Raw genomic sequence first — 23,735 nt, 5'->3', positions numbered from 1 at the left:
GTTCGAGACCAGCCTGGCTAACATGGTGAAACCCCATTTCTACTAAAAATACAAAAATTAGCCTGGTGTGGTGGCACACACCTGTAATCCCAGCTACTTGGAAGGCTGAGGCAGGAGAATCACTTGAACCTGGAAGGCTGAGGCTGCAGTGAGCTGAGATCATGACACTGCACTCCAGCCTGGGCAACAGAGCGAGACACTATCTTTAAAAAAAAAAAAAAAAAAAAAAAAAAAAAATTGGCCGGGCACGGTGGCTCACGCCTGTAATCCCAGCACTTTGGGAGGCCGAGGTGGGCAGATCACAAGGTCAGGAGATTGAGACCATCCTGGCTAACACGGTAAAACCCCGTTTCTACTAAAAAATACAAGAAATTAGCCAGGCGTGGTGGCGGGCACCTGTAGTCCCAGCTACTTGGGAGGCTGAGGCAGAAGAATGGCGTGAACCCGGGAGAAGGAGCTTGCAGTGAGCCAAGATCGCACCACTGCATTCCAGCCTGGGCAACAGAGCGAGACTCCATCTCAAAAAAAAAAAAAAAATTAGCCAGGAGTACTGGCTCACACCTATAATCCCAGCTACTCGGGAGGATAGTTTGAGCCCAGGAGTTTGAGGCTGTAGTGAGCCTTGATTGGGCCATTGCACTCCAGTCTGGAGTACCCTGTCTCAAAAATAAATAAATAAATATTTAAAAATTCTCAGGTACATAGGAAAAGCAGGGCCAGAAGCGGTGGCTCACATCTGTAATCCTAGCACTTTGGGAGGCCGAGACAGGCGGATCATGACGTCAGGGGATCGAGACCATCCTAGCTAACACGGTGAAACCCCGTCTCTACTAAAAATACAAAAACTTAGCCGGGCGTGGTGGCACATGCCTGTAGTCCCAGCTACTCAGGAGGCTGAGGCAGGAGAACCATTTGAACCCGAGAGGCGGAGGTTGCAGTGACCCAAGATTGTGCCACTGCACTCCAGCCTGGGTGACAGAGCAAGACTCTGTCTCAAAAACAAACAAACAAACAAACAAACAAAATGCTGGGCGCGGTGGCTCATGCGTGTAATCTCAGCACTTTGAGAGGCCGAGGCGGGTGGATCACTTGAGGTCAGGAGTTCAAGATCAGCCTGACCAAGATGGTGAAACCCCATCTCTACTAAAAATACAAAAATCAGCTGGGTGCAGTGGCAGGTGCTTGTAATCCCAGCTACTTGGGAGGCTGAGGCAGGAGAATCTCTTGAACCCTGGCGGCAGAGGTTGCAGTGAGCCGAGATCGCGCCACTGCACTCCAGCCTGGGTGACAGAGTGAGACTCTGTCTCAAAAAAAAAAAAAAAAAAAGAAAAGCAGAAGAGCATAACCTTCAAAGGCTTAAGCTCTGAAATCATACTGTGTGCATTCCAAGCTCTCTGCTCACTTGCTGTGTAACCTTTTAGTGTCCAGTTTCTCATGTGTTAAATATAAAATGATGTACTGGGTTCATTACAGTCCAGGGCCACAGCACTTCCTCAGCATGAACTGCCTGGGCAGTTCATTTCCCCATATTCATATAAACTGTTCTCTCACGGCATTCAAGCCTGGGCTCGAATGCCTCTTCCTCAGTGATGTCTCCCTAACTACACAATACAAAAAACAGCCCCATTAGCATGCATGCCCGTGGTCCCAGCTACTCAGGAGGCTGAGGTGGTAGGATCGATTGAGCCCAAGAGGTAGAAGCTGCAGTGAGCCGTGATTGTGCCACTGCACTCCAGCCTGGGCAACAAAGTGAGACGCTGCCTCAAAAAAATCAAAAATGGGCTGGGCTTGGTGGCTCATGCCTGTAATGGCAGTACTTTGGGAGGCAGAAGCAGGGAGATAACCTGAGGTCAGGAGTTCAAGACCAGCCTGACCAATGTGGTGAAACTCCGTCTCTACTAAAAGTACAAAAATTAGCTGGGCGTGGTGGTGTGTGCCTGTAGTCCCAGCTACTCGGGAGGCTGCGGCAGGAGAACTGCTTGAACTGGGGAGGTGGAGGTTGCAGTGCACCAAGGTCGCGCCACACACTCCAGCCTGGGCGACAAAGCAAGACTCTGTCTCCGAGTTACAGGCCGAGCTACCATGCCCCGCCTGTACTTTAGTTTTCTTCAGAGTATTTATTTGCTGACTAAAATTGTGTAATCCTTTTGCTTGCTTTTTCATTATCCATGGAGGCAGTGACTTGATAATATACACTGCTGTGTCACTCAGTATCTAGAACAATTACATACAGTAATGCTTAATATTTAGAGTGATTATATTAAATATGTGATAATTAAATGAACTAATGCTTGTAAGTATCACACAATGCCTGGCACAGAGCGAGCACTGCCATAAGTTCAGACTTAATTTAGTCAGCCAATCCTTTGATACAGGGCAGTTAGGCAGTTTCTAGTTTTTACTATTGTAAATAAACTGCATCCTTATGTACATACTCCAGAAATAATATGCTCTAAAGGATGTGATCAGGTCTAAAGAGAGCAATCATTTGTCATAATTTTTTTTAACCTCACCTCAGTGAGTGCATGTATAAATGGTGAAATCTGAATAAACTTTATGTATTATACCAGGGTCAATTTCCTGGTTTAGATACTATACCACAGTTGTGCAAAATATTAACACTGAGGGAAGATGGGAAAAAAATACACAAGACTTCTCTGTGCATTTCTTTGCACCTTCTTGTGAATCTACAATTTTTCAAATTAAAAGGTTTTTTTAATTTTTAATTGACACAGAGAAACAGGAGAGAAGACATGCCTTACCTCTTCTTTTGTGGCATCTTCAGGTACCCCACTTAATCGAATAAGCCTGCTGGGTTTCTCCTCACTTGGGCCGGTCCTATAATCTTGATCCTTAAATTGAGAATGAAAAATTATTTCACAAATATACTTTACTGCACAAAACACAAATCAACATGAAATTTAGCCACTCAGGATCAAAAATGATAATGACATGTCACGTGAAGATATAAAAAATTACAATTTTCTCTATTGTTCTGAGTGCCAGAATGTGACTTCAAATCATAAGAATGTAAATGTGCTAAGACCAAGTCTCACTGAAAGAGTCTTCAAAGTAAAGCAAAACATTACGAGAGACAAGACTGAGTAAGACTTTAATAACCAGAAAGACACACTAACATAGTCTCAAAACAGTAATTTTCTCAGCCTAGCCAACATGGTAAAACCGTCTCTACTAAAAATACAAAAATTAGCCAACTGTGCTGTGCACGCCTGTGGTCCCAGCTACTCAGGAGGCTGAGGCGGAAGAATCACTTGAACCTGGGAGGCAGAGGTTTCAGTGAGCCAAGATTGTGCCACTGCACTCCAGCCTGGGTGACAGAGCGAGACCCCCGTCTCAAAAAAAAAGAAAAATTTCCCTGGTCTGAGAGCTGGAGAATGGGCTGTAAACTAGCAGTACTTCATACCTCTGGTGAGAGAAGATGACTAGATAATGTCTTTTTTTTTTTGAGACAGAGTGTCGCTCTGTCGCCCAGGCTGGAGTGCAGTGGCACAATCTCAGCCCACTGCAGCCTCCGCCCCCCAGGTTCAAGCAATTCTCCTGCCTCAGCCTCCCAAGTAGTTGGGATTACAGGCGCCCACCTCCACACCTGGCTGGTTTTGGTTTTCGTTTTTTTTTTTTTTTTCAGATGGAGTTTCGCTCTTGCTGCCCAGGCTGGAGTGTAATAGTGCAACCTCTGCCTCCCCGCAACCTCTGCCTCCCAGGTTCAAGGGATTCTCCTGCCTCAGCCTCCCGAGTAGCTGGGATTACACACATGCATCACTACGCCCAGCTAATTTTGTATTTTTAGTAGAAATGGGGTTTCTCCGTGTTGGTCAGGCTGGTCTCAAACCCACGACCTCAAATGATCCACCTGCCTCAGCTTCCCAAAGTGTTGGGATTACAGGCAAGAACCACCACGCCTGGCCTAATTTTTGTTATTTTTAGTAGAGATGGGGTTTCACCATGTTGACCAGGCTGGTCTTGAAATCCTGACCTCAAATGATCTGCCCACCTTTGCCTCCCAAAGTGTTGGGATTACAGGCATGAGCCACTGTGCCTGGCCTTATTTTTCTTCCCCACCCTCACATTCTCTCCTGAGGTTGCACCACACTGGTCTCAAGTTCCTGGCCTCAAGTGATCCTCCCACCTCAGCCTCCTAAAGCACTGAAATTACAAGCATAGGCCACTGTACCCAGCCAAATCTACTTTAAAAGAGAATACCTTCATTGTAAAATTACAAATATAACCCTCCTTGCTTAAATCATATATTCAAGAAGTTTAACATTTAAGTTAATTACGTTAGCTGCAAGAGGATAGTTGCAACATTAATATCAGCTCTTCACAACTAGGGAGACTCCTAAGTATTCTCTCAATGAATTTAAATAAGAAAATGATCCCTAAACAATCACAGGTCTAACTAAGCGAGAGTTGCAAGAGTCAACTCCCAAAGACATATACTTTCAAACTAAATTATCCCAAGGCATGTAAATCAGCATCATAAAACAAAATAATGAATAAACACACATCAAAAGGGTAGGGGCAGTGGCTCATTGCTGTAATCCCAGCACTTTGGGAAGCTAAGGTGGGGGGACTGCTTGAACCCAGGAATTTGAAACCAGCCTGGGAAATATGTTGCAACCTTCTGTCTACAAAAAAATACAAAAATTGCTGGCCAGGCATGGTGGTGCATGCCTGAAATCCCAGCTCTTTGGGAAGCTGAGAAGGGTGGATCATTTGAGATCAGGGGTTCCAGCCCAGCCTAGGTAACATGCCTAAACTTCATCTCTACAAAAAATACAAAAATTAGTCAGATTTGGTGGTGCACAACTACAGTCCCAACTACTCAGGAGGCTGAGGCAGGAAGACTGCTTGAACACGGGAGGCGGAGGTTGCTGTGAGCCAAGATCGTGCCACTGCACTCCAGCCTAGGCAACACGGTGAGGCTCCATCTCAAAAAAGAAAAAAAAAAACACAACTAACTAGGAATGGTGAAATATACCTGTAGTCCCAGCTTCCTGGAAGGCTGAGGCGGGGGAACCCCTTGAACCCAGGAGGTAGAGGTTGCAGTGAGCTGAGATCGCACAACTGCACTTCAGCCTGAGCGACAGAGCAAGACTCATTCTCAAAGGAAAAAAAAAAAAACTAGCCAGGCATAGTGGCTGGCGCACATCTGTAGTTCCAGCTACTCAGAAGGCTGAGGTGGGAGGATCGCTTGAGCCTGGGAGGTCAAGGCTGCAAGGAGCCATAATTACACCACCGCACTTCAGCCCGAGTGACAGAGCAAGACCGTGTCTCAAATATATATATATATAGTTCCTTCATATATACACACACATATATACACAAATGGAAAGTGAAGCAGGAAGAAAAGAATAAAAGAAAAAAGAAATATATATATATAAATATATATTCATATATATACATATATATTCATATATATATATACACACACACACACATATATATGATCTGAGCTGAGGACCTTTTCTCTAGAGATTTACATTCCTACATTCCACTCCTGAATACAAATTTTGCTTTCTAATGGTTATGCAAAGATAAAAATAAAATGAAAAAAAAAAAAAAAAACTGGCCAGGCACGGTGGCTCATGCCTGTAATTCCAGCACTTTGGGAGGCCGAGGTGGGCGGATCACGAGGTCAGGAGTTCGAGACCAGCCTGGCCAACATGGTGAAACCCCATCTGCACTAAAAATACAAAAATTAACTGGGCATGGTGGCACATGCCTGCAATCCCTGCTACTCAGGAGGTTGAGGCAGGAAAATTGCTTGACCCTGGGAGGCGGAGGTTGCAGTGAGCTGAGATTATGTCACTGCACTCTAGCCTGGGTGACAGAGCAAGACTCCGTTTCAAAAATAAATAAATAAATAAATAAATAAATGTCATCCTTCACAAAAGTCTTATTTAAAGAAAAAAAAAAAAAGCAGGCCGGGCGCGGTGGCTCACACCAGGCGTGGTGGTGGGCGCCTGTAGTCAGTCCCAGCTACTCAGGAGGCTGAGGCAGGAGAATGGCATGAACCCAGGAGGCGGAGCTTGCATGAGCAGAGATCGCACCACTGCACTCCAGGCTGGGCAACAGAGCGAGACTCCGTCTCAAAAAAAAAAAAAAAAAAAAAAAAAAAAGCAATCCACCCCATCAACATACCTGAAGGTCCCGTTGGGCATCTCGGGCAGTTTTGCCCTCTGGAAAAGACTTGCTCTGGCCATAGCCAAACATCTGGCTTCCTGGCAGCCTATGATCCACATCACGGTACTCCATGCTTCTGTAATCGGTGTCTTGCCGCCCAAGAAAGTCCAGACCGCCTTCTTCTTTAAACAGACCAGCATCTGAACTCTGCTCTTCACGTCCAGAAAGCTGTGACTTATCTTGGTCTTGAACTGGACTTTGGCTGTTCTGAAAGTCTGCTGGAGACTCATGTTCAAAGGCTACACCTTGTGTTTCTCCTTCTCTTGTTTCTGAATGCTCAAATTCTCCCTTCTGAATGCCAAAAGCAGGCCTTTCTATCGTATGGTCATGTGTGGATTCTTCTCTCCTGTTCACATTCATACCAGAATGTTCTCTATCTTGTGTAGAGGGCTGAATGTAATCCAAAATATTTGGATCCACAGGGGGCATCTCCCTATCTTTAAATTCCATACAAGATCCCATCTCTCTGCCCCTAAAATCCTGATCAGTCCTAGATCGGTGTCTACCTCTGAAATCTGAATGTGGCGTATCCCTGTCCCTAAAGTCTAGATCAGTAGTACCTGAACCTCGGCCTCTAAAGTCTACTTGTGTTCCGTCTTTGTCTCTAAAGTCCAAATCAGATACATCTCTATTCCTAAAATCAGAACGGGACTGTTCTCTGGCCCTAAAATCCAAATCTGATAAATCCCTTCCCCTAAAATCTGCATGGGATCCATCCCGGCCTCTAAAATCTAAATCATAAGTGCCCCGGCCCCTGAAGTCAGATGGAGGAGCATCCCTACCTCTGAAGTCAACAGCGTGAGCATCCCTGTCTCTGTAGTTCATATGAGGTGCCTCCCTACCTCTATAATCCATAGAAGTACCATCTCCACCCCTATAGTCCATAGGTGGTCCTTCTCTATCCCGAAAATCCCCAGAATGTATGTCCCTACCCCTGAAGTCCAACTGTGATGAATCTCTGCTCTGGAAATCAGAAGACGAAAAATCTCCCCCCCTGAAATCATGTCCAGGTCCCTCCCCTCCTCGATAGTCACCATGCGGTCCGTCTCTAGCTCCATAGCTGAAAGAATGCTCCTCTACATTTGCAAAAGGAGGCCCCGAATGCCCCTGGAAATCAAAGGGAAGTGAATCTCTGCCAGGAAAGTTGCCAGAGTGTCTCTCTTGAGCATGACTCTTAAGGGGAGGAGGAGGATAATCCCTGTTCCACCCGGGAGCAAACCTTTCTTCTTGGCTCCCACTGTAGAAACAAAGACAGTGTTATTCATATTGTCCAGAGAGTTTGAAATCTACACACCAGCATATTCTTCTCTAATCACAGCACATTCTTCTGTAAACATTTTTTTTTTGGCAGAGTTCTGTAACAAGGTCCTAGATCTGCAGAAAACAGCAAAGTTTTGCTATTTTAAGACGAAGTGGCGGAGTAAACTTTTATGCTCCCATTTCAGAACACGAGGAAAGTCAACACAAGGTTTTCAACATGACTGCTGCAGAAAAAGCTTTCACCCAGTCCTGCAACAGGGAAAATCCGCAATACCAAATAAGCTAACAATGGTGACATACTACAAAAATTTCCATTTCCTACAGCCAGGGAACTTAAGAATTCCAAGGTCAACATGACGATTCCTATATATCAGAAAAATCAATGCACTGTAAATTTCTTACAGTAAGTTTCAGGAGGTATCTTTCTCACGCTGCATCCAGCGGTAACATTCAAAAATATTTTATTACAGATACAGCATGGACACCACCCAATCAAAATGGATGCAGGCCCAAAAAGAAGAAACACTGGTTGTAAATCACCAGTAGGAACAAGCACACCAGTGTTCACCAGCTGAGCATCAGCCCTGGCTGCATCTAAATCCCAGTTCTACAGTGGCTCCACCAAGAAGCACTCTAACCTGGGTCCTATTATAACTACCCAAGGGTATCACAGAAGGTAGAAGGTAGTATGAATCATGCCACAAAGCATGTATAAGTCATCTAAGCCACGCAACAGCATCCAGGGGCTCAATGCTGAGATAGACCTAGAGAGAGCATTAGGTCTTCAAGCATGATCCCCATGACCCAAATGAAGAAGCTGATATTCCATATTCCAATGTCTCATGCTACTTTTTCATGGCAATAAAATACATTTTAAAAATAGACATAGTATTAAATTTACATTCTCAATTTATAGAACTCAAGAGATAAACAAGATGTGACCTAATCTTTCATACTACCCAACTTCTTCCCTTTGCCTAACCTTCAGGGCATTTTACATGTTTTGGCTTCAGTCCAAGATTCCCTAAACTAGTTTAAGTAGGCAATTAGGCACCTAGGATCCTAGGCAGGGAGACATGAAAAAGGAAAACATGAAAAGACCTGAAGGGTCATCTGTTATTCAGCAGTAAAACAAAAGCATTAAGATATTAATACCAACTCAATTCTTGCCTCCCAGAACATACAGGGTCTATCATAAGGCCCTTCTGAGCTCAGACTATGCTACTATACTAAAATTCAAAGGACAACTGATTCTGGGTCACTCAGTTCAAGAGAAATAGTTGCAATGCCAAACCTTTTCTTTCTCTTTTTCTTTTTTTTTGAGACGGAGTCTCGCTCTGTTGCCCAGGCTGGAGTGCAATGGCATGATCTCGGTTCACTGCAGCCTCTGCCTCCTGGGTTCAAGCAATTCTCATGCCTCAGCCTCCAGAGTAGCTGGGATTACAGGCATGCGCCACCATGCCCAGCTAATTTTTTTATTTTTAGCAGAGATGGGGTTTTACCATGCTGCCCAGGCTGGTCTTGAACTCTTGACCTCAGGTGAGCCACCCATCTCTGTCTCCCCAAGGTTAGGGTTACAGGCGTGAGCCACCATGCCCGGCCAACCCTTTCTTAAAGTAACAGGAATTTAACAGCATTAACCTAAACACTAGAATGATGTACATTTAATGGATTTTCAGAACATGATGACTTCCACTGACCCCCATTAACACTAGTTATGTCTATGTGGTTCATCATAAGAGGAGCAAGTTTAGATGTTCTTCTTTTTTTTTTTTTTGAGACGGAGTCTCGCTCTGTCGCCCAGGCTGGAGTGCAGTGGCGCGATATTGGCTCACTGCAAGCTCCGCCTCCCGGGTTCACGCCATTCTCCTGCCTCAGCTTCCCAAGGGGCTGGGACTACAGGCGCCCGCTACCACGCCCAGCTAATTTTTTTGTATTTTTTGTAGAGGCGGGGTTTCACCGTGTTAGCCAGGATGGTCTTGATCTCCTGACCTCGTGATCCACCCGCCTCGGCCTCCCAAAGTGCTGGGATTACAGGCGTGAGCCGCCACGCCCGCCCTAGATGTTCTTCTTAGGCAATACAATTTAACACTAAAATTAAGATGTTACCACTAAATACAGTGTCTCTCATGTTTAAAATCATTCAAGTCTTTCTTGCAGGAAGATTTAAGCTTCATCAGACACTCATGGGATGAGGACTGAGGTATGAAATCTACATGTTTTCTGACCAGAACACATCCAACATGGCCTAAAGATTATCTTACTCTTCTAAATTAAGATCAAATAGATTTAGAGTAACTTACTGTAGCAGGGTTCTTAGATTTGTATTTTATACAGACGAATCAAGAAACCATTCTACTAATATAAAATATCAGTAGTTATGAAAATTATTTTCAACCAAATAAAAACAAATTTTAAAAGAAAAGTTCAAAGGAAATGTAACAAAATCATTTTCCTATATCTGTTTTGGTTCAAATTAGTTCCCAAAAACTGTCTCCCTCCTAGTCAAAGATGTTAAAAAACAGCATATAATGACTTACATTTAAACTAAAATTAAGGTGGGAAAATATAATTTTAAATAAGTTTAAACGAGTCAAAGACAAATGTTCTAAATTTGAAAAAAGTTAGACAATAAAGCTAAATTAACCTAACATTTCTGAATGCTTACCTAAACCACGTTAATTCTATACGAAACAGCCTTACTTACAAAATAGTTACCCATAAATACAAGTAATAAGAGGATAGATTACAACCTAAATATTTTTAAATGGTAACGTACAACCCCATTGATCTAGATGAGAGGTCAGGAAACTTTTTCCATGAAGAGCCAGTTCGTAAACATATCGGATTTTGTGGGTTATACAATCTCTGTTACAACTATTCAACTCTGCCATCATAGCATGAAAGCAGCCATACACAATCTGCAAATGAGTAAGAGTGGCTGTTTTCCAGTAAAACTTTATTTACAAAAACAGGCTATCAGCTGTAGTTTGCTGACCACTGATCTAATCCTTAGTATTTTGAAAGAAAAAAAATACCCAACATCACACTGTTGTTTTAATTTAAAGACCAATCTCTGTCATTCAGCATTTATGAAATACTAGTTTTACTAAACATTATATGGATTTTCTAAACTCAGTTCTCCACCTAAATTTTTCATTGGAACTCCAAGCTTCAGAACAATGAATGAGAACATCTGTTGCATTTAAGTAATAAAATCTTGCAGATTGCCAATCCAAATGGCAGGTGCGGTGGCTCACACTTATAGTCCCAGCACTTTGGGAGGCTGAGGTAGGTGGATCACTTGAGGTCAGGAGTTTGAGATCAGCCTGGCCAACATGGTGAAACGCCATCTCTACTAAAAAAAAAAATACAATAATTAGCCAGGCATGGTGGCATACACCTGTAGTCCCAGCTACTCAGGAGGCTAAGGGAGGAGAATCACTTGAACCTAGGAGGCAAAGGCTGCAGTGAGCTGAGATCATACCCCTGCACTCCAGCATGGGCAACAGAGTGAGACTCCATTTTGAAAAAAGGTAAAAAAAGGAAAATGTACTAGTTAATAGAAGTTTCAACTGGAGCAACAATACTTATGAATGCATACATTTAAAGGTCAGATTTATTTGCTATGTACCAAGTAAAACCAAAAAAGTCACATTCATATAGCATCTCATTAATTGTAAACACAATACGAAAAATGTTTAAATACTAGTTAAAATACAGTGTGTATGATACTAGCTATAAAAAAATTAATTCCCTACAAATTTAAAATACAATCTATTTACAACTAAATGCTACCACTTTCTCCACTCTTCTTGGTACCAAGTAACCCCTAAAATTGAGAGGTGGCTTAGCAAACTGCGTCAACATGCCACAGACAAGGCACAGCTCTGAATTCTAGACATAAATTAGTGAACTCAATACAACTTTTATAAACATTTATGTAAATTTTGCTAGCTTTCCTTACTAGCCAAATATGTATTCCTTCGCTAAGAGACAAAAAGAAATAAAATATTTGGGTATTTTTTAATATTAAAATAATGAAATTAGCCAGGCATAGTGGCACGCGCCTGTAATCCCAGCTACTCAGAAGGCTGAGGCAGGAGAATCACTTGAACACGGGAGGCGGATGTTGCAGTAAGTCAAGATCGCACCACTGCACTCCAGCCTGGGAGACAGAGAGAGACTTGTCTCAAAAAACAAACAAATAAATAAAATTTTAAAATGCTATGTGACAAAACATTTGGCATGCTGGGTATTCAGGCTCACAATCATTTTCGAAATTATTTTCCAAATTGAGTTTCTATTTTTCTTTTTTTTTCTTTTTTTTTTTTTGTTTTTGTTTTTGAGACAGAGTCTTCCTCTGTCGCCCAAGCTGGAGTGCAGTGGCACGATCTCGGCTCACTGCAAGCTCCGCCTCCCAGGTTCACACCATTCTCCTGCTTCAGCCTCCCGAGTAGCTGGGACTACAGGCAGCCGCCACCACGCCCGGCTAGTTTTTTTTGTATTTTTTAGTAGAGACGGGGTTTCACCGTGATAGCCAGGATGGTCTCGATCTCCTGACCTCATGATCTGCCCGCCTCAGCCTCCCAAAGTGCTGGGATTACAGGCGTGAGCCACCGCGCCCAGCCAAATTTCTATTTTTAAAAAATCAGAAACTATTTCTCCACAGAGAAAATATCTTCATTTATAGTAGGCGAAAATGTTACACATTTATAATTAAAATACTGGCAATTTCAATATTCAAATTTGAGAACTTACCGAAAAGGTCCAGTTCTGTTAGCAGGTCGAGAATCCCCCCACATCTCTTTTTATCAAGAGGGCCCCAACAAGTAAATCCTTTTTCTACCAAATTCTGGTTATAGCAGTACCTGTACAAAATAAACCACAAAAATTAGTACTTTAGAATGTGAACTAAAAGCTAAACCAGTTTCCCACTGCTTGGTTTATGAGGGACCACATCAGCAGCAATAATTTTGAAGGTCTTTCTTTTCTTTCTTTTCTTTTTTTTTTTTGAGATGGAGTCTCGCTCTGTCGCCCAGGCTGGAGTGCAAAGGCATGATCTCAGCCCATTGCAACCTCCGGGTTCAAGCAATTCTCCTGCCTCAGCCTCCCGAGTAGCTAGGACTACAGGCGCCCGCCACCACGCCTAGCTAATTTTTTGTATTTTTAGTAGAGACGGGGTTTACTGTGGTCTAGATCTCCTGACCTCATGATCCGCCCACCTAGGCCTCCCAAAGTGTGAGATTACAGGCGTGAGCCACTGCACCCGGCCTTCTTTTTTTTTTTTTTTTTTAAGAGATGGAGTCTTGCTTTGTTGCCCAGGCTGAAGTGCAAAGGCACGATCTCAGCCCACTGCAACCTCCGGGTTCAAGCAATTCTCCTGCCTCAGCCTCCCAAGTAGCTAGAACTACAGGCGCACGCCGGCCGCCCAGCTAATTTTTTTGTATTTTAGTAGAGACGGGTTTTCACTGTGTTACCCAGGCTGGTCTCAAACTCCTGAGCTCAAGCAGTCCGCCCGCCTCGGCCTCCCAAAGTGCTAGGATTACAGGCATGAGCCACCGCATCCAGCTGGAAGTCACTTTCAAACACTTACATCACTTACATATTAAATTTATAATAAGAAAAATACTTTTTTTTTTTTTTTAAAGACAGAATCTCTCTCTGTCGCCCAGGCTGGAGTCCAGTGGCACTATCTCAGCCCACCACAACCTCTGCCTCCCCGGTTCGAGCGATTCTTCTGCCTCAGCCTCCCGAGTAGCTGGGACTACAGGCACGCGTCACCATGCCCGGCTAATTTTTGTATTTTTAGTAGAGATGGGGTTTCACCATATTGGCCAGGCTGGTCTCGAACTCCTAACATTGTGATCCACCCACCTCGGCCTCCCAAAGTGCTGGGATTACAGGCGTGAGCCACCGTGCCCGGCCAGAAAAATAAGTTTTTAATTAAAATGTGTACTCTGGGGTCGGGCACGGTGGCTCATACCTGTAACCTCAACACTTTGGGAGGCCAAGGCAGGCAGACCGCTTGAGCCAAGGAGTTTGAGACCAGCCTGGGCAACATAGCAAAATGCCATCTCTACAAAAAATACAAAAATTACCAGAACTTTGGGAGGCTAGGCAGGTGGATCACCTGAGGTCAGGAGTTCGAGACCAGCCTAGGCAACATGGTGAAATCTCATCTCTACTAAAAATACAAAAATTAGCCAGGTGTGGTGGCAGGCACCTGTAATCCCAGCTATGCAGGAGGCTGAGGCAGGAGAAACGCTTGAAACCGGGAGGCGGAGGCTACAGTCAGCCAAGATCATGCCACTGCACTCCAGCCTGGGTGACAGAGCGAGACTCCATCTTAAAAAATATATATACAAAAATTAGTCAGGCATGATGACTATGTGTAGTCTCAGCTTCTTGGAAGGCTGAAGTGGGGGAGGATCGCTTGAACCCAGGAGGTTGAGGCTGCAGTGAGCCAAGATCGCACCACTGCATTCCAGTTCAGGAAACAGAGTGAGGCTGTCTCAAAAAAAAAAAAAAAAAAAGGTACTCTGGGCACCATAAACTTTTCAATGTGCTATGAATGCTTCACATTTACTACATGAAGTAAGTATTTACTGATTTTTCTAGCGCTCACTAGCCCTTCCTTTTTGGAAACAGCACTGTAGTATCAACCCCACTGTCTCAGACCTGATCGGACACCATCCAGCATGAGCAATCGGAATAATCTATTACCCTCACCACAGTCATTGCTTTGAAGACAGACATGTAACTCAAGTCAAGATAAGAAGTTATTTCCAGGACCTTTGTTATAGCTACTGAAAAAGAGGCAAATCTTCATGACCTTGGATTTGGCAATGATTTCTTAAATATGACCCCTACAGCACAAGGAACTTTAAAAGAAAAAGTAGATAAAGGGACTTCACCAAAATTAAAAACTTCTGTGTATCAAAGGACACTATCAAGAGAGTACAAAGACAGCCCATAGGTCATCAAAATGGCAGACTAGGAAGTTTCAAGGTCTCATTCCTTCATAGAAACATCAGAAAAACAAGTAGTAACTGTCTGAACCAAATTTGACAGTTTTAGAAAAGAGTCAAAGGTTTACAAGCAAATATCCAATGAAGAAAAAGCCATCTTCAAAACAGAAGGAAAGTTCTGTGGTGTTTTACTCAACCTTGCCCTACCCCCTCTCCAGCATGGCAGTGTTTTTTGTCTTAAAGCAGTAGAAGCCCAATTCCCAGCTCCCTCCCTCAAAGAGCAAAGCAGACCTTATTTGCAAATTATCGTACATATCTGTTCTACCCTGTCTGCGGGGGTATTTGAAGGACAGACATAAGGTGCATGTTTCTATTTCAACCTAATACAAAACTCAGGCAGAGAAAGCAGCAGGTATTGCTAATGAAAGCTGCAAAGCAGACTACAGACTAACAGGCACTTGGGGCAAGAGATTACAGATAGATGCCCACAGAAGTTGAGGTGAAACTCTTTGGCAAATTAGGACATTCCAAAGCAACATGTATATGGTGAAATTTAGAAAGCCATATGAATGCCAAGGCAAAATGTATGATCATACAAGACCTAGGCCGGGCGTGGGGGCTCATGTCTGTAATCCCTGCACTTTGGGAGGCTGAGGCGTGTGGATCACTTGAGGTCAGGAGTTCGAGACCAGCCTGGCCAACATGGTGACACCCCGTCTCTACTAAAAATACAAAAAATTAGCCAGGCGTAGTGGCGGGCACCTGTAGTCCCAGCTACTTGGGAGGCTGAGGCAGGAGAATGACTTGAACCCTGGAGGCGGAGGTTGCAGTGAGCCGAGGTCACACCACTGCACTCCAGCCTGGGCAACAGAGCAAGACTCTGTCTCAAAAAAAAAAAAAAAAACCCTAAATATAAATTGCCAACCAAGAATTCTGTAAATGGCAACACTGTCTTTCAAAAAATAGGGAAAAACATTGGCCGGGCGAGGCGGCTCACACCTGTAATCCCAGCACTTTGGGAGGCCGAGGCGGGCGGATCACAAGGTCAGGAGATTGAGACCATCCTGGCTAACACAGTGAAACCCCGTCTCTACTAAAAATACAAAAAAAAAAAAAAAAATTAGCCAGGCGTGGTGGCGGGCACCTGTAGTCCCAGCTACTCACGAGGCTGAGGCAGGAGAATGGTGTGAACCCAGGAGGCGGAGCTTGCAGTGAGCTGAGATCACGCCACTGCACTCCAGCCTGGGCGACAGAGCGAGACTCCATCTCAAAAAAAAAAAAAAAAAAGGAAAAAAATCAAGACATTCTCAGATAAACAAAAGCTGAGGGAGGCTCATTACCACTATACAGACCTTGTAAGAAATGCTAAAAGGGAATTCTTCAGTCCGGGCACAGTGGCTCACGCCTGTAATCCCAGCACTTTGGGAGGCCGAAGTGGGTTGGTCACGAGGTCAGGAGTTCGACACCAGCCTGGCCAAGATGGTGAAACCCGTCTCTACTAAAAATACAAAAATTAGCCAGGTGCAGTAGCAGGCACCCCTAATCCCAGCTAGTCAGGAGGCTGAGGCAGGAGTATCGCTTCAACTTGGAGTGGGGGTTGGTTGCAGTGAGCTGAGATCATGCCATGGCACTCAGCACTCCAGCCAGGGCAACAGAGTGAGACTCCATTTTTACAAAAAAAAAAAAAAAAAAAGGAATTCTTCAGAATGAATTTTTTTTTTTTTTGAAATGGAGTCTCGCTCTGTTGCCAAGGCTGGAATGCAGTTGAGCGATCTCGGCTCACTGCAAGCTCCACCTCCTGGGTTCATGCCATTCTCCTGCCTCAGCTTCCCGAGTAACTGGGACTACAGGCGCCCGCCACCACGCCCGGCTAATTTTTGTGGTTTTTTGTTTTTTGTTTTTGAGACAGAGTCTTGCTGTCTCCCAGGCTGGAGTGCAGTGGCGTGATCTTGGCTCACTGCAAGCTCCGCCTCCTGGGTTGACGCCATTCTCCTGCCTCAGCCTCCCGAGTAGCTGGGACTACAGGTGCCCACCGCAATGCCAGCTAATAGTTTTTTTTGTTTTGTTTTGTTTTTTGTATTTTTAGTGGAGACGGGGTTTCACCATGTTAGCCAGGATGGTCTCGATCTCCTGACCTCGTGATCCACCCACCTCAGCCTCCCAAAGTGCTGGGATTACAGGCGTGAGCCACCGCACCCGGCCTTTTGTGTTTTTAGTAGAGACGGGGTTTCACTGTGTTAACCAGGATGGTCTCGATCTCCTGACCTCGTGATCCGCCCGCCTTAGCCTCCCAAAGTGTCGGGATTACAGGCGTGAGCCACTGCGCCCGGCCCAGAATGAATTTTTAAAAGCTAGACGTGAAGCCATGTGAAGAAATAAAGATCTCGGCCAGGTGCGGTGGCTCACACCTGAGGTCAGGAGTTCAAGACCAGCCTGGCCAACATGGCAAAACCCCATCTCTACTAAAAATACAAAAATCAGCCACGTGTGGTGGCGTACAACTACAGTCCCAGCTACTCAGGAGCCTGAGGCAAGAAAATCTTTTGAACCCGGGAGGCAGAGGTTACAGTCAGCTGAGATTGCGCCATTGCACTCCAGCCTGGGCGAAAGAGCGAGACTCCATCCCAAAAAAAAAAAAAAGAAAGAAAGATCTCTGGTAAAGGCAAATACAGGGGCAACTGTAAAAACTAGCATTATTGCAATTTTGCTTTGTAACTCCTACTTTTCACTTTCAATGTGATCTAAAAGACAGATGCATAAAAAATTATTAATCTAGGTTCCTGAGATACGATTTACAAAGATGTAATCCATGACTTAACAGAAAAGGGAAGAGAAAGGAGCTGGATAGGAGCAGAGATTTGTATACTATGGAACTTAAGTTAGTATAAATTCAAATTAGATTATAACTGTGAGATGTTAAGTGTAATTCCCATGGTAACTGCAAAGAACATATCTTTAGAATATACACATAAGAAAATAAGGTTGCCTGCTTATGCACTAGAAAGAAAAAGAAAATGAGAAGGGGCTAGGCACAGTGGCTCATGCTTGTTGTCCTAGCACGACAAGCACTGGGAGGCTGAGGCAGGAGGATTCCTTGGGCTCAGGGGTTTGAAACCACCATTGGCCATATAGTGAGACTCTCTCTACTTCAAAAAAAAAAAAAAAGAAAGAAAGAAAATGAGAAGAAAGTCAAAACATTTTCACAACAGGCCAGTGGCTAACATCTGTAATCCCAGCACTTCAGGAAGCCGATTGCTTGAGGCCAGGAGTTTGAGACCAGCCTAGGCAATATAGCAAGACCCCATCTCTATGAAAAATTTAAAAAACAAAAAAGGCAGGTGGCACATGTCTGCACTTCCAGTTACTTGCAAAGAATGAAGCGGGAGGATTGCTTGAGTCCAGGAATCCAAGTCTGCAGTGAGCTATGATCTCATCACTGTTCTCCAATCTGGACAACACAGCAAGACCCTCCCTCTTAAAAAGAAAAAATAAATAAAAAATTAAAAAAGCAGGCCAGGCCTGGTGGCTTACGCCTGTAATCCCAGCACTTTGGGAGGCCGAGGCGGGAGGATCACCTGAGGTCTGGAGTTCGAGACCAGCCTGACCAACATGGAGAAACCCCGTCTCTACTAAAAATACAAAATTAGCTGGGCATGGTGGCGCATGCCTGTAAATTCAGCTACTCAGGAGGCTGAGGCAGGAGAATCACTTGAACCCAGGAGGCGGAGGCTGCGGTGAGCTGAGATTATGCCATTGCACTCCAGCCTGGGCAACAAGAACGAAACTCCGTCTCAAAAAATAAATAAATAAATAATAAAAAATAAAAATAAAAAAATAAAGCGTGGGCCAGGCGTGATGGCTTACGCCTATAATCCCAGCACTTTGGGAAGCCAAGGCAGGAGGATCACCTGAGGTCAGGAGTTCGAGACCAGCCTGACCAACATAGAGAAACCCCATCTCTATTAAAAATACAAAATTAGCCAGGCATGGTGGCAAGCCTGTAATCCCAGCTACTTGGGAGGCAGAGGCAGGAAAATGCCTGAACCCGGGAGGCGGAGGTTGCAGTGAGCTGAAATCATGCCACTGCACTCCAGCCTGGGCAACAAGAGTGAAACTCCGTCTCAAAAAAAAAAAAAAAAAAAAAAAAGCGGGGGAGGGGGCAGAAAGTGGCTAATGCCTGTAATCCCAACACTTTGGAAGGCTAAGGCAGGTAGATTGTTTGAACCCAGTTTGAGACCAGCCTGGGCAACATGGCAAAACCCTATCTCTACAAAAAATACAAAAATTAGCCAGGCATGGTGGTGGCACACCTATACTACCAGCTACTCAGGAGACTGGGACAGGAGGATCACTTGAGCCCAAAGTTGCAGTGAGCTGAGATTGTGGCACTGCACTATTTTGCTCACCAAAGCCTAGGCAACAGTCTCATGCTCTCAAAAAAAAAAAATTTTTTTTCACTACCAAAAAAAAAAAAATCAGCTAAACATAAAAGTAGTAGCAAAATGGCAAAAGTCCTTATCAGTAATTACTTTAAATGTAAATACTTTAAACTCTCTAATCACAAAATATTGGCAGAATATATATACATATACACACACACACACACACACACACAGAGAGAGAGAGAGAGACACAGAGAGAGAGAGAGACAGAGTTTTGCTTGACACCCAGGCTGGAGTGCAATGGCTCACTGCAACCACCGCCTCTCAAGTTCAAGAGATTCTCCTGTCTCAGCCTCCCAAGAAGCTGAGATTACAGGTGCCCGCCAGTACACCCAGCTAATTTTTGTATTTTTAGTACAGACGAGGTTTCACCATGTTGGCCAGGCTGGTCTCAAACTCCAAACCTCAGGTGATCCACCCGCCTCAGCCTCCCAAAGGGCTGGGATTACAGGCGTGAGCCACTGCGCCCAGCCTAGGATACATTTTTTAAAAACTGTAATCCCAGCTACTCGGGAGTCTAAGGCAGGAGAATCACTTGAACCTGGGAGGCGAAGGTTGCAGTGAGCCAAGATCATGCCACTGCACTCCAGCCTGGGCAACAAGAGCAAAACTTTGTTTCAAAAAATATATATATAAATATTATAAAGCCTAAATGCACATCAATAGAGACCCTATCTCTACAAAAAAATACGAAAATTAACTGGGTGTGGTAGCAGGTGTCTGTAGTCCCAAATACTGCAGAGGTTGAGGTAGGAGGATCCCGAGGCTTGATCCCAGGAGGCAGAGGTTGCTTAAGCCAAGATCACACCACTGCACTCCAGCCTGGGCAACAGAGCGAGACTCAGTCTCAAAAAAAAAAAAAAAAAAAAAAAAGAAAGAAAAAAAAATACTATGCGGCCCTAAGAATAAATAAAGTAGCTATGTTAATTGATACAGGATAAGCTATTATGTATTAAGTTTTAAAAACATGTGCAAGGCCGGGTGCGGTGGCTCACGCCTGTAATCCCAGCACTTTGGGAGGCCTAGGCAGGCGGATCACGAGGTCAGGAGATCGAGGCCATCCTGGCTAACACAGTGAAACCCTGTCTCTACTTAAAATACAAAAAAATTAGCTGGGCATGGCAGTGTGCGCCTGCAGTCCCAGCTGCTGGGGAGGCTGAGGCAGGAGAATGGTGTGAACCTGGGAGGCGGAGCTTGCAGTGGGCTGAGATCGCGCCACTGCACTCCAGCCTGGGTGACAGAGTAAGACTCCATTTCAAAAAAAAAAAAAAGTGTGCAAAATATTTGTAACCTGATATCTGTGCAAAACAGAAAAGAATATATACAACAAAGTTAGAGGACTGACACTTCCCAATTCCAAAACTCACCACAAAGCTACAGTAATCAAGACAGTGTGGCACTGACATAGTATAGACATACAGACCAAGGAAACAGAATTAAGAGTCTATAAATAGGCCAGACACAGTGGCTCACACCTGTAATTCCAATACTTTGGGAGGCTGAGGCAGAAGGATGGCTTGAGCCCAGAAGTTTCAGACCATCCTGGGCAAATATTGAGACCTTGTCTTCACAAATTTTTTTTTTTTTTTTTTTTGAGATGGAGTCTCGCTCTGTCGCCCAGGCTGGAGTGCAATGGTGCAATCTCGGCTCACTGCAACCTCCGCCTCCAGGGTTCAAGCAATTCTTCTGCCTCAGCCTGCCAAGTAGCTGGGACTACAGGCACGTGCCACCACGCCCAGCTAATTTTTGTATTTTTTTAGTGGAGACGGGGTTTCACCATGTTGGCCAGGGTGGTCTCGATCTCCTGACCTTGTGATCCGCCCGCCTGGTCCTCCCAAAGTGCTGGGATTACAGGCGTGAGCCATTGCGCCCGGCCTATAAATTTTTTTTTTTTTTCTGAGACCTTATCTCACTCTGTCACCCAAGCGGGAGTGCAGTGGCACATTCTCGGCTCACTGTAACCACTGCTTCCCTGGCTCCAGCCATCCTCCCACCTCAGCCTCCTGAGTAGCTGGGACTACAAATGTGCACTACCATGCTCGGCTAATTTTTTTGTGTATTTCTGGTAGACCTAGGGTTTCGTTATGTTGCCCGGGCTGGTCTCAAACTCCTGATTCAGGCGATTACCCCGCCTCCACCTCTCAAAGTACTGGGATTACAGGTGTGAGCCACCCTGCCCAGCCTACAAAATTTTTTTTTTAATTAGTCAGGTCCAGCTAGGCGTGGTGGCTCACGCTTGTAACCCCAGCACTTTGGGAGGCTGATGCGGGCAGATCATCTGAGGTCAGGAATTCAAGACCAGGTAGGCCAACATGGTGAAACCCCGTCTCTACTAAAAATACAAAAATTAGCCAGGCGTGGTAGCACATGCCTGCAATCCCAGCTACTCAGGAGGCTGTGGCAGAAGGATCACTTGAACCCAGAAGGCAGAGGTTGCAGTGAGCGGAGATTGTGTCATGTTACTGCACTCCAGCCTGGGTGACAGAGACGGTCTCAAAAAAAAAAAAAAAGGCCAGGTTCGGTGGCTCACACTCACACCTGTAATCCCAGCACTTTGGGAGGCCAAGGCGGGCAGATCACGAGGTCAAGAGATCGAGACCAGCCTGGCCAATGTGGTGAAATCCCGTCTCTACTCAGAATACAAAAATTAGCTGGGCGTGGTGGCACACGCCTGTAGTCCCAGCTACTCAGGAGGCTGAGGGAGGAGAATCACTTGAATCCGGGAGGTGGAATTTGCAGTGAGCCAAGATCGCTCCACTGCACTCCAACCTGGGCGACAGGGCAAGACTCCATCTCAAAAAAAAAAAAAAATTAGCAAGGTGTGATGGCACGCCCCTAAGGTCCCAGTTACCTAGGAGGCTAAAGTGGGAGGATCACTTGAGCATGGGAGTTTCAGCCTGCAGTAAGCCATGATTGCACCACTGCACTCCAGCCTGGGCAACAGAGCAAGACCCTGCCTCAAAAAAAAAGAAAAGAAGAAAAGGTAAGCTGCGCACATTGGCTCATGCCTATAATCGCAGCACTTTTTGAGGCCAAGGTCAGAGGATCACTTAAGACCAGGAGTTCAAGACCAACCTGGGCAACACAGCAAAACCCCCATCTCTACAATTTTTTGGTTTAAATGAAAAGACATCCCACAGAATGGGAGAAAATTTGTGCAAATTACATATTTGGTAAGTGACTTGTATCTAAAATATATAAAAAATGATTTCAACTCAGTAACAAAAAGAAAAATAAGCCAGGAGCAGTGGCACACGCCTGTAATCCCAACACTTTGGGAGGCCAAGGCAGGTGGATCACCTGAGGTCGGGAGTTTGAGACCAGCCTGACCAACATGGAGAAACCCTGTCTCTACTAAAAATACAAAATTAGCTGGCGTGGTGATGCATGCCTGTAATCCCAGCTACTCGGGAGGCTGAGGCAGGAGAATCACTTGAACCCGGGAGACAGAGGTTGCGTTGAGTCGAGATGCACCATTGCACACCAGCCTGGGCAACAAGAGCAAAACTTCGTCTCAAAAAAAAAAAAAAACAAAGGATAAGTAACCTAATTTAAAATATAGTAAAAGTGGCTGGGCACAGTGCTCATGTCTTTAATCCCAGCACTTCAGAAGGCTGAAGTGGGCAGATCACTTGAGGTCAGGAGTCTGAGACCAGCCTGGCCAACATGCCAAAACCCTGTCTCTATTAAAAATACAAAAACTGGGGCCAGGCGCAGTGGCTCATGCCTGTAATCCCAGCACTTTGGGAGGCCAAGGCGGGTAGATCACGAGGTCAAGAGATCTAGACCATCCTGACCAACATGGTGAAACCCCATCTCTACTAAAAATACAAAAATTAGCCATGGTGGCACACACCTGTAGTCCTATATACTCGGGAGGCTGAGGCAGGAGAATCACTTGAACTCGGGAGGCAGAGGTTGTACTAAGCCAAGATCGTGCCACTGCATTCTAGCCTGGGTGACAGAGCAAGACTCCGTCTCAGACAAAAAAATAAAAATAATAATAATAACAAGGCAGGGCATGGGGGCTCACACCTATAATCCCAGCACTTTGGGAGGCCGAGGCAGGTGGACCACAAGATCAGGAGATCAAGACCAGCCTGACCAATGTGGTGAAACCCCGTCTCTACTAAAAATACAAAAATTAGCCAGGCGTGGTGGCGGGCACCTGTATTCCCAGCTACTTGGGAGGTTGAGGCAGAAGAATCACTTGAACCTGGGAGATGGAGGTTGCAGTGAGCCGAGTTTGTGCCACTGCACTCCAGCCTGGGCGACAGGGCGAGACTCCACCTCAAAAAAACAGAACAACAAAAAAATAATAATAATAATAATAATAACTGGAGGCTGAGGCAGGAGAATCACTTGAACTTGGGAGGCAGAGGATGCAGTGAGCCAAGATCGTGCCACTGCACTCCAGCCTGGGCAACAGAGTGAGACTTCATCTCAAAATACATAAATAAATAAATAAATAAATAATAAATAAAATAAAATATAGTAAAGGCCAGGCACAGTGGCCCTTGTCTGTAATGCCAGCACTTTGGAAAGCTGAAAAAGGTAGATTGCTTGATGCTTGAGCTCAGGAGTTCGAGACCAGCCTGGGCAACATGGCAAAACCTTGTCTCCACACACACACACACATATACACACACACAAATCAGCCGGACAAGGTGGAACACATCTGTAGTCCCAGCTACTGAGGACGCTGAGGTGGGAAGATGGCTTGTGCCTGGGAGGCAGAGGTTGCAGTGAGCCAAGATCACACCACTGTACTCCAGCCTGGGCAACAGAGCAAGACCCCATCTCAAAAAACAAACAAACAAAAAGAAATAGTAACTGCTGATTCATCCCTCACACCATC

At 44.9% G+C, this 23,735-nt stretch overlaps 1 protein-coding gene across 15 annotated transcripts in view; it reads right to left on the bottom strand.

Annotated features, from left to right (window-relative positions):
- Positions 1-23,735, bottom strand: part of RBM6 (RNA binding motif protein 6) — a 137,100-nt gene that overhangs the window by 102,339 nt on the left and 11,026 nt on the right. For 8 of the 15 annotated variants that reach the window (XM_047447131.1, NM_001349193.2, NM_005777.3 and 5 more), the window contains exons 2-4: positions 12,226-12,335; positions 6,163-7,441; positions 2,763-2,852 (exon numbers count right to left, since the gene is read on the bottom strand). In XM_047447131.1, the coding sequence (XP_047303087.1) occupies positions 2,763-2,852; positions 6,163-7,441; positions 12,226-12,269 (1,413 nt within the window). In that variant the 5' untranslated portion in view covers positions 12,270-12,335. Of the gene's footprint in view, positions 1-2,762; positions 2,853-6,162; positions 7,714-12,225; positions 12,336-23,735 lie in introns of those variants that run through there. The other 7 variants (NR_146071.2, NM_001349194.2, NM_001167582.2 and 4 more) reach the window with 5 other exon arrangements.

The sequence above is a fragment of the Homo sapiens genome, chromosome 3 (genome assembly GCF_000001405.40).
Source record: "Homo sapiens chromosome 3, GRCh38.p14 Primary Assembly".
NCBI lineage: Eukaryota > Metazoa > Chordata > Mammalia > Primates > Hominidae > Homo > Homo sapiens.
This window is presented reverse-complemented; position numbering and strand designations above follow the sequence as displayed.